Consider the following 11,338-nt stretch of genomic DNA (forward strand, 5'->3'; position numbering starts at 1 on the left):
GTGACCTTTCCCATTGGGGTTCTGATTTCGCAAACATGCATTGGGCTCTTTAATGCATATTATCTCATCTATTGCTCACAATAGCCCTTTAAGGTCGGTATTATTTCCAGTTTTACAGAAGAGTAAATGCCCAGATGATTGCTCAATATTACACAGGTAGTAAGCTGCAGAAATGGGTTATAAATGCAGGTGTTGTATAATATTAGGTTGGTGCAAAAGTAATTGCTGTTTTTGTCATTACTTTTAATGGCAAAAACCACAATTACTTTTGCACAAACCTAAATACCTTTGATGTTCTCTCTAGCTCACACTTAAATCTTATATTGCATTTTAATATCTAACTTATTTATTTATTTATTTATTTTTGCCAGTCTACCCAGTTTGGCAGTCAATCTTGAGAGTGGATGCTGTGCTGTCTCTACCACTTTTCTTTCTTAGCACTGAGCCTTCCCCATGAATCCCTCTCTCCCTTTTTCTTGTATGCTTGGCTTTCCTGCAGCATTTAGTAAGGTGATGAGCTCTCTGAGATCCTTGCAACTCACCAAGAAACATTAATTTCATCTTTCTCTGTGTTCCCTACATGCCTTCTACCTCCCCTATTACATCACTATAATCATTTATTCAGCTCTCTTTCTTTTCCAATTAGTCTTTAGCCCATGTTGTTCAAGGATAGACAGTAGCTAGCCATGACTCTCAAGTAATTGTAACATGGCTGGTATGACTACACAACTGGATTTTAATTTTATTAAAATTTCTTAAGTTTTTTTGTTAAATCGTAAGTCGCATATAAATTGCAACTGTGACTTGCCTACAGATATAAGAATTTAGAAAAAAATCAACAAAACATACTGTATGAATCAATCTACTATATAACATTTACAATGAAAAGTATTATATATTTTATTACTGTTTGTAAATTCCATCTACACATTCTTTATATCAGTACAATTTGTGTGTGTATGTGTTTCTTTTTCAGAGAGCTAGATGTGAATATTAACCAGTACACCACTAGATATAGACTATAATATCATGTGACTGAAAAATCAGAAGACCAAGGTTTTAGCTTTGCCAGTAACTAGTAGCATGAATAAGGAAAAGTTGCTTACTTTTTTTTGTCCACTTTGGCAAAACTACAAGTAGTAAAGCTCTTCCAACTGAAAATTTCTATTTATTGCATAAAGCTTATCTCAGTCCCAGTTTAAAGACAGGAGGTGAGAATATTAGGTTGAACAGATATAAAAGACTATCATCATGAATTTTGCTTACCTCCCTACATTCCATGTTAAGTTAAATTTAAAAACTGAAGCAGGGTATTTTCATTAGCCACAACTTTATTATTTTTCTAAGAAAATGTTTCATTTTAACTGTTGCAAATTTAGCATTTGAATTGAAATGTACTGTAAGTATAAAATACATAGGGATTTCATAGACTTAGTAAGAAAAATAATGCAAAATATCTTAATTTGTTGTATTGATGACATGTTCAAATGTTAATATTTTGGAGATATTGAGCTAAATAAAATATATTATGAAAATTGTTTTTAATTGTTTATATTATGTTTTTTAATGTGACTACTAGAAATTTCAAAAATTATATATATGGCTCTCCAGGTACTTATATTGAATGGTACTGCTATTGACACTCCAAAGACAGGGACAATGTTTCATTTGTTTTTGTATGTCAAAACTCTATGGTGCCAGGTGCATAAGTGCTCACAATAAGTGGTATGAATGAGTGAGTCAATTATTTGAATCACCTTTTAATATTTTGCATGCTGACTTGCACATAGAAGGCAGTCAATAAGCATTAGACTTTCAGTTGATCACTGATCTAGATTTAAAAATGTTATCCAAAGGAAAGCATTCTTTTTATCCCTTTCCTTTTGACACTATTTGGGACTTCCAGGTCTTTTGTCATTTTTTAGAAGGAATATAAATAAAAACTCAGAAAAATGAAAAGAAAAATAAGAGTCAAAATCATAAGTTGCTACAGTAGAAACTCAGAATTTTCTTTGCCCTTATTATTCAAGCAAAATATGAACTTTTGAGGAACTTACCATTTACCTTTATTACATGGTTCTAACATGCATTTTTTTTTCAAATTTTAATTTGTCTGATAATTAGGCTGCCTCTTACAAATAAGGAATACATTTAATATGGTAACAGTGATCATTTTACTTACTTTTATCCAGAAAAAAGCATTTATTAAATCAAAGTAGTTTCTTATGATCATTGGCATCATAGAATCATAGAAATAAGGATAAGATCAACAGAATTCAAGATCAGTATGTTTGCATAAGCGTAGAATAATATTTTTGAGGTAGCAGATTGTTCAAGTGAGTTGTTCTTTCAGGGATACTCTAGGATTTGTGTGTGATGAGCATTATATATGCATGTATATATGCATGTATATATGTAAGCTTAGTTTAGTGTGATCTAAAGTAGATCAATGAAAGGTAGGATGAAGACTTAAAAAGAGCTGGATAAGTTTAATTGGCACAGACTTGTTAGAAGGAGTGACTTGGTTGCTTTAGAAATCCTTTTGGTGTATTTCCAATGGACAAAGTTCAAACTGGAGCAAGCATCTTTAGAATCTGATTCTTTGGGCGTGGTGGCTCACGCCTGTAATTCCAGCACTTTGGGAGGCCGAGGCGGGTAGATCACGAGGTCAGGAGTTCAAGACCAGCCTGGCCAACATAGTGAAACCCTGTCTACTAAAAATACAAAAAAAAATTAGCTGGGTGTGGTGGCAGGTGCCTGTAAATCCAGCTACTAGGGAGGCTGAGGCAGGAGAATTGCTTGAACCCAGGAGGCGGAGGTTGCAGTGAGCAGAGATCGTGCCGTTGCACTCCAGCCAGGGTGACAGTGTGAGACTCCATCTCAAAAAAAGAAAAAAAAGAAAGAAAGAATCTGATTCTTACCTGCTTCTTGATCTCTTGCCACATTCTCTACCTCAGACTCTATGTTTGAACATACCCTGTTATTTATAGTCTTCAAATGCATGTAAAGATTTCAAACTATTTTGTCTGGTCATATTCTCCCTGTCCTGGAAGAGCCTTTCCTTTGGTCAGGCTGTTAGAAAATTCTTTCTGTTGCTTGGAGAAAAAGTTCAAGCTTTGCTTCTTTTATGAAGCCTTCTCTGAGATCTTGGATTAGACTCACCTGGAACATATGTCTATTATAGGTCATCTGTAAGTCACTTTTTTCACATCTATCTTACCAAAAAACTTTGAGTTTCTTGAGAACAGGAGCTTTGCCTTTTTCAAATTGCTATCTCTAGAGCAATTGTTCCCAAACTGGCTTCACAGTAGAATCACCCAAAGATCTTAAAACAACCAATCAACAGACAAACATAAAAAAATAAAAATAAAAAATAAAACACAACAACAAAAAACTATGCCTGAAACCCACCTGAGACCAGGTAAACCAGAATTTGTAGAGGTAGGGCCGAGAAATCAATACTTTCAAGTACCCAGAGTGATTTCAATTGCAGCTGGATTAAGAAGCATTGGTCTATATGTATATTCACTGAATTCATGCATATTCATTTATTTGAATTGGATTGAAGACTAACGGGAACTATAGTAAATTATAGTGGAAATTTAGAATAAAGCAAGCCATCTACACATTACAACAAAAAGATTTCTTATTTGCACTAAGATAACTAAAATTCCAGATTTCTGAAATGCAATATTCTAAATATCACCTACATTATAAGCACTGAAATAATAGAACTGAGAATATTTTCATCTGTGAAGTTAAGGCCTAAACATTTTGGTTTCTAAAACCCTTTTCAAGTCTAAACAAATAATATCAAATTCACAAAACTTATGAGATAGAAAGGCTCTTAATGATTTTCCAGGTCTCTTATCTTACAGATGACTTCATAACTTCTTGTACAGAATGCTTCATGGTTTTCAAGGCACTTTCATGACAATCATTTTCAGAAAAACCCACTAGGTGGATTGATCACCCTGTTTAGCAGATAAGGAAACTAAGGTTTGCAAGAATTATGTGATGGACCAAAGAGCATACAGATAATTATGTCCTGTCTTCCATGTTATTTGTATGTCCAAGAGGAAAAAGAGAAAGCCAAGGAAGCTCTTGACATCTTTTAATAACAGAAATATGAGGGTGTCAATTTTTCATTTTCAGTGTGGATACAGTTGGAGAAGTGATGAGATTCATTATCAACACCTTGCCATATTTGTAACTTTCTTCTCTTCTTCAAAGTGTTCTCTTCCTTGTCCCTACTCCTCTCCCACTCCATTTATATCACCAAGATCTAATCATGACTTTCTTATTTCATTTTTCCTAGCTCTTATCAAAATACACTTATCAATACTTATACATGTACTTTGCAGGTGACACATGTACTTATTCTCCTGTGATACAACTCAGAGGAGCCATATAACAACTTTTGTAGAAGGTGTTATTATTTTTAGCACAATTTTATAGACAAGGAATCCAAGGCCTAAGGAAGTGAACTGACTTAAACACAATCAAACACTAGCTTCTCATAGAGCTGAAGCTCTAACTCATGTCCTCTGATCAGAAGTTCGAAGTTCTATCTTTTCTCTATTGTTCTATACTGTCTCAAGGAAGAGCGATAACTGAGAAGATACATACTTGGCTTTGAGAAGATATTTTGGTCAAATACAAGTAGTGGAGCCAAATTGTAGGTCTCAGAAGATTTGTAGGATTACATGGGCCATTTAGACATGCATGTAAGTAGAATTATCATTTGGCCCTATGTGATAAATTATTTTCTCATTTTCAAATATTCACTCCCCTCTCCTTGTAGAATGAAGGTATTTCCCACTCCACTGATATTGAGCCTGGCTGTTTGACTTGTTCTAGCCATTAGAATGTTAATCAACTTTTTACACGCCAGGTTTTGGTTTTAAATGTGACTATGCAGCTTTTTTTATCTTTATGCCTTTTGCCATGAGTGTGGCATGTACCAGATGTGGGCTGTTCCTTCACGTAGGACTCCAAAGTGCTAAGACATGTGGAGCATGAGCAAGCAGAATTGGAGCAGTTACTGACACGTAATCTGATCCAAAAACAGAGAAGAAAAAGTTTGTTGCCAGGGATGTTGGCTCATGCCTATAATCCCACTTACTTAGGGTGGCAGAGATGGGAGAATAGCTTGAGACTAAGCATTCAAGGCCAGCCTGGGCAACATAGCAAGACTCCTATCTCAAAAAAACAAAACAAAACAAAACAAAAACAAAAGAAACAAACAAAATGGCAAGTTTGTGGCTATAAGCCATTAAAATTTCAGGATTGTTGTTAAGCAGAAAAACTGACTTACACAGCCTACTTCTCAAGCAGATCTTCAAACTATATGATAAATGTGAACATAAGCTATTTTTTTTTTTTATTTTTTTAAATTTATTTTTTTATTGATAATTCTTGGGTGTTTCTCACAGAGGGGGATTTGGCAGGGTCATGGGACAATAGTGGAGGGAAGGTCAGCAGATAAACAAGTGAACAAAGGTCTCTGGTTTTCCTAGGCAGAGGACCCTGCGGCCTTCCGCAGTGTTTGTGTCCCTGATTACTTGAGATTAGGGATTGGTGATGACTCTTAACGAGCATGCTGCCTTCAAGCATCTGTTTACCAAAGCACATCTTGCACCGCCCTTAATCCATTTAACCCTGAGTGGACACAGCACATGTTTCAGAGAGCACAGGGTTGGGGGTAAGGTCACAGATCAACAGGATCCCAAGGCAGAGGAATTTTTCTTAGTGCAGAACAAAATGAAAAGTCTCCCATGTCTACTTCTTTCTACACAGACACGGCAACCATCCGATTTCTCAATCTTTTCCCCACCTTTCCCGCCTTTCTATTCCACAAAGCCGCCATTGTCATCCTGGCCCGTTCTCAATGAGCTGTTGGGCACACCTCCCAGACGGGGTGGTGGCCGGGCAGAGGGGCTCCTCACTTCCCAGTAGGGGCAGCCGGGCAGAGGCGCCCCTCACCTCCCGGACGGGGCGGCTGGCCGGGCAGGGGGGCTGACCCCCCCCACCTCCCTCCCGGACGGGGCGGCTGGCCGGGCGGGGGGCTGACCCCCCAACCTCCCTCCCGGACGGGGCGGCTGGCCGGGCGGGGGGCTGACCCCCCCACCTCCCTCCCGGACGGGGCGGCTGGCCGGGCAGAGGGGCTCCTCACTTCCCAGTAGGGGCGGCCGGGCAGAGGCGCCCCTCACCTCCCGGACGGGGCGGCTGGCCGGGCAGGGGGGCCGACCCCCCCACCTCCCTCCCGGACGGGGCGGCTGGCCGGGCGGGGGGCTGACCCCCCCACCTCCCTCCTGGACGGGGCGGCTGGCCGGGCGGGGGGGCCGACCCCCCCCACCTCCCTCCCGGACGGGGCGGCTGGCCGGGCAGAGGGGCTCCTCACTTCCCAGTAGGGGCGGCCGGGCAGAGGCGCCCCTCACCTCCCGGACGGGGCGGCTGGCCGGGACAGGGCCGACCCCCCCACCTCCTACCGGACGGGGCGGCTGGCCGGGCGGGGCCGACCCCCCCACCTCCTCCGGACGGGGCGGCTGGCCGGGCAGAGGGGCTCCTCACTTCCCAGTAGGGGCGGCTGGGCAGAGGCGCCCCTCACCTCCCAGACGGGGCGGCTGGCCGGGCGGAGGGCTGACCCCCCCACCTCCCTCCCGGACGGGGCGGCTGGCCAGGCGGGGGGCTGACCCCCCTACCTCCCTCCCGGACGGGGCGGCTGGCCGGGTGGGGGGGCTGACCCCCCCATCTCCTCCGGACGGGGTGGCTGGCCGGGCTGAGGGGCTCCTCACTTCCAGTAGGGGCGGCCGGCAGAGGCGCCCCTCACTCCGGACGGGGTGGCTGGCCGGGCGGGGGGCTGACCCCCCCACCTCCCTCCCAGATGGCACGGCTGGCCAGGCGGGGGGCTGACCCCCCCACCTCCCTCCCGGATGGCACGGCTGGCCGGGCGGGGGGGCTGACCCCCCACCTCCCTCCCGGATGGGGCGGCTGGCCGGGCGGGGGGCTGACCCCCCCCAACCTCCCTCCCGGACGGGGTGGCTGCCGGGCGGAGACGCTCCTCACTTCCCAGATGGGGTGGCTGCCGGGCGGAGAGGCTCCTCACTTCTCAGACGGGGCAGCTGCCGGGCGGAGGGGCTCCTCACTTCTCAGACGGGGCGGCTGGACAGAGACGCTCCTCACCTCCCAGACGGGGTCTCGGCCGGGCAGAGGCGCTCCTCACATCCCAGATGGGGCGGCGGGGCAGAGGCGCTCCCCACATCTCAGACGATGGGCGGCCGGGCAGAGACACTCCTCACTTCCTAGAAGTGATGGCGGCTGGGAAGAGGCGCTCCTCACTTCCTAGATGGGATGGCGGCCGGGCGGAGACGCTCCTCACTTTCCAGACTGGGCAGCCAGGCAGAGGGGCTCCTCACATCCCAGACAATGGGCGGCCAGGCAGAGACACTCCTCACTTCCCAGACGGGGTGGCAGCCGGGCAGAGGCTGCAATCTCGGCACTTTGGGAGGCCAAGGCAGGCGGCTGCTCCTTGCCCTCGGGCCCCGCGGGGCCCGTCCGCTCCTCCAGCCGCTGCCTCCCGGGCGGCGCTCGCCGGCACGGCGGCAAAGACTCTGTTTTTGTTTTTGAGAGGGAGAGTTTCGCTCTTGTTGCCCAAGCTGGAGTGCAATGGTGCGATCTCGGCTCACTGCAACCTCTGCCTCCCGGGTTCAAGCCTACTATTTTCTTCTAAGAGTTGTTTAGTTTTAGCTGTTACCTTTAGGTCTTTGATCCATTTTGATTTCATTTTTGTATGTAAGTTAAGGGTCCAACTGCTTTTTTTTTTTTTTTTTTTTTTGAGATGGAGTCTCGCTCTGTCGCCCAGGCTGGAGTGCAGTGGTGCGATCTCAGCTCACTGCAAGCTCCACCTCCCGGGTTCACGCCATTCTCCTGAACATAAGCTATTTTTAAACATTGACTTGGTATATGAATATAGGAAAGTGACATCACTATTCTGTAATCCCATTTGAAATGTTAACCTTTTCAGTTATGGATGAGAATTAGGAATAAAAAGTAAAGAGTGGGATGCATCTTCTAGTTCTTAACAAATGTTAATTAAGGCTTCTTGGCTGCAAAGCAAGCATTATGAAATGTGAAGCTTTCTTAGGAATGATAAGCTTGAAAAAATCACCATTATAACCAGAGCAGTTTGAGGCTGAACTTAGTAGAAGATTAAAATTTCCTTTTAAATCATCCTAAATTTTAAAACTATATCATTAGCATGGTATTATCCATATGCTTTCCTCGACTGTTTAATTACAGAGGAGGCAGTTAAGCAGATCAAGAGACTCTATTAACAGACAAACCCAAAAGCAAATATGATGAAATGTAATTACAGGGAGTAAATGATCTGGAGTCTCCCAGAGCCTCCCAGAACTCTAAGAATATTCTAAACATGATTTATGCCACCACAAAGTGAACCCATACTTACCATCCATTTTCCCCACAATCTGCTTCCTGTACTAGATAGAGAAAGCACACACATTCAGATAAAATAACTGTCAATTTGCACAATGATATAGGACTTTTAAAGCCACTTCCTGCTTCCTACTCATAGGATTTTATATTATACTTGGTAGCTCTAGAAAGGTTTTATTTCTATAACCTATAAAATGATGGCCACACGCATGACTAAGATGCCAAGACCCCTAAAATAGTGAGGGAAATGCTAGAGAATTAATGTGATTCAGGTACTTGAAGGAAACGTCCAGTCATCCAACTCATGGCATTCAAAGGTCATATAATTTGAAGGGCTAGGACTGGGCTGGTGCTGATAGTTAGGGATCTCCAGCAGTGACATATTCAGGTAGATAGACTCACAATTCCATGAAAATCTGTCTGATTTGAAAAGTAGTCTCTATAAACACAGGGTAGGCTTCAATTTATTAGATGTGGTGGTATCTTGAATACAGGGCACAACACTGAAGAAACAATTCCTCAATTCCTACATGGCTTCTAGGTATAAGGCTCTTATGCAGCAAGGCTTGGTGTGAATTAGCTCATGCTCTGGATAGGAGTTGGTCTATAGGCAGATTATGGAGTACTCAGAGTTGGGTGGAGCTGGAGATGGACAGAAAGAACTAAAGAACAGTAAAATTAAAGCTAAGTCTTCTGTTTACAAAGGGGAAAAAATCTTTGTTCTAGACTCAATCCGGTCAAATATAAACATACTGGATTTTTATTTGCTCCTCTTTCTCATACTCCACTATATTCCTATAATTCAAACAGATTCAACAAACGTGTAATAAACTCTGATTTTCAAACACATTCACATGTTACTTAACCTTTACAACTGTCTCGTGAGGCTGCTTTTATAACACCTGTTCGTGGTTCACAAAAAAAAAAAAACTGAAGCACAGAAAGATTACCCTAAATCACAGTTAAGTAACGTCAGAATCAGAATCTGTATGCACATCACTGAAATCCAAGTTCATAACCATGATATAAATGGTGACTTACATCTGCATAGCAAGTTAGAATTCTTAAACCACCTTATCAATCCATAATCTCATTGATCCTACTAGTGATTTAGTCAGGAAGAAACCAAGATATATATTAACCGTATCTGTTATTTCATTGCCTTCTGCCTAGTAGTGTGCCATGCACATAGAAGGCACTCCATAAAAGTTTCTTGACTTTCGAGTCCGAAAGTTAGAGGTTATCTAATTGAAAATTATATTTTTAAAAACTTCCTTTTGGTATAAAATGAACTTCTATGATAGTATTAATTTCGGAGTTTCCTGGCTAAGAAAAAGAGTATTTGAAATAGGGTTAGAGTCCATAAAATACCATCTTATAGTCAAAATACATTATAATTTTTAAATTTTCTTTTCAATGCACCAGATAAATATATAAGCTTCAATATAGGCCATCAGAGGATTAAGAAGAAAACCTTGGGTTTCAGAAACATCAGCTCAGTTTTGAGTCATCTTCTGATAGACTTTCTTTTTTTTTTCTGAGACAGAGTTTTGCTCTTGTTGCCCAGGCTGGAGTGCGATGGTGCACCTTGGCTCACTGCAATCTCCACCTCGCAGGTTCAAGTGATTCTCCTGCCTCACCCTCCCGAGAAGCTGGGACTACAGGCACGCACCACCATGCCCTGTTAATTTTGTATTTATAGTAGAGATGAGGTTTCTCTATGTTGGCCAGGCTGGTCTCGAACTCCTGACCCCAGGTGATCCCCCTGCCTCAGCTTCCCAAAGTGCTGGGATTACAGGCGTGAGCCACCGCACCCGGCCCTGATAGACTTTCTAACGCACATCTACATAGAACACATTTCTCTTCTGACTTGTTCATCCAATTTGCTCTGTTCCTTTATTTTAGTAGCTAATGACCAGTTGTAAGTATGTAGGTATACTCGTTAGGTCTTCCAGATAACACAGACCTAACTTATTTGTCAAATGATAAAAAGAGGAATAAATGAATAGCTTAATGGTTGGATCAATGACTAATAAACTCGTGCATATCATTTGTGTTCATTGTGAACATATACATATTCCTATACATGTATATTATATGTACATATATTTGTGCATTACATATAAGCATACACTTAAAAGTAGAATACAAAAAAAGTGTGTTAATTGTACTAATATCAATGAGCTACCTTATGCTTCCATTATTATGATTGTTATGTTTCTAAAAAGTTTAGCTTAAATTGCTTTCACACATCAGTTTTAAATGAAAAGGGTGAGGTTACAATAAACATGATAGTAAAATCATAGGATATTAAAATTGGAAGAGACCATGAGGTTTCCCTAATTCATCTACTTACTTGAGAATGTTTTGTAATGTATACTGGGAAAATGGCTGTTTGTTCACTATTTAAATAATATGTTCATCCCCATCAAAGGCAGCCTGTTCACTATAGGGCATTAGAAACTTATTGCTCACATTGAACCAAATCAGTCTGTTTGTAGCCCTCACCTGGTGGGTGTAGTTATCTATTAAGAAGGAACACAACTTCTCTATATTTTATGCAAGGATTTTTCTTAGTTTTCTATTCAACAATAAACTTTTCTATTTCCTTTACTCCTCAAATATCATTTATTATATAAATAATTTGTTTAAAAATTATTTTTATGAATTAATAATTACTTTATAACATACTTTATATGTTTGTCTATGAAACAAACTAATTACAAGTTTGCAATTACTTCAAAATATCTTCTTCATGCTAATCAATGAAATCTTTAAATCTTTAAGAGGCTACATCCTATTCTTAAATTCTCCTTATTCTTTTTAATTGTAGATTTTATTCTTTTTAAACCGCACATTCTTAGGGAACCCTTTTTATACT

Source organism: Homo sapiens, chromosome 8 (genome assembly GCF_000001405.40).
Source record: "Homo sapiens chromosome 8, GRCh38.p14 Primary Assembly".
Taxonomy (NCBI): domain Eukaryota; kingdom Metazoa; phylum Chordata; class Mammalia; order Primates; family Hominidae; genus Homo; species Homo sapiens.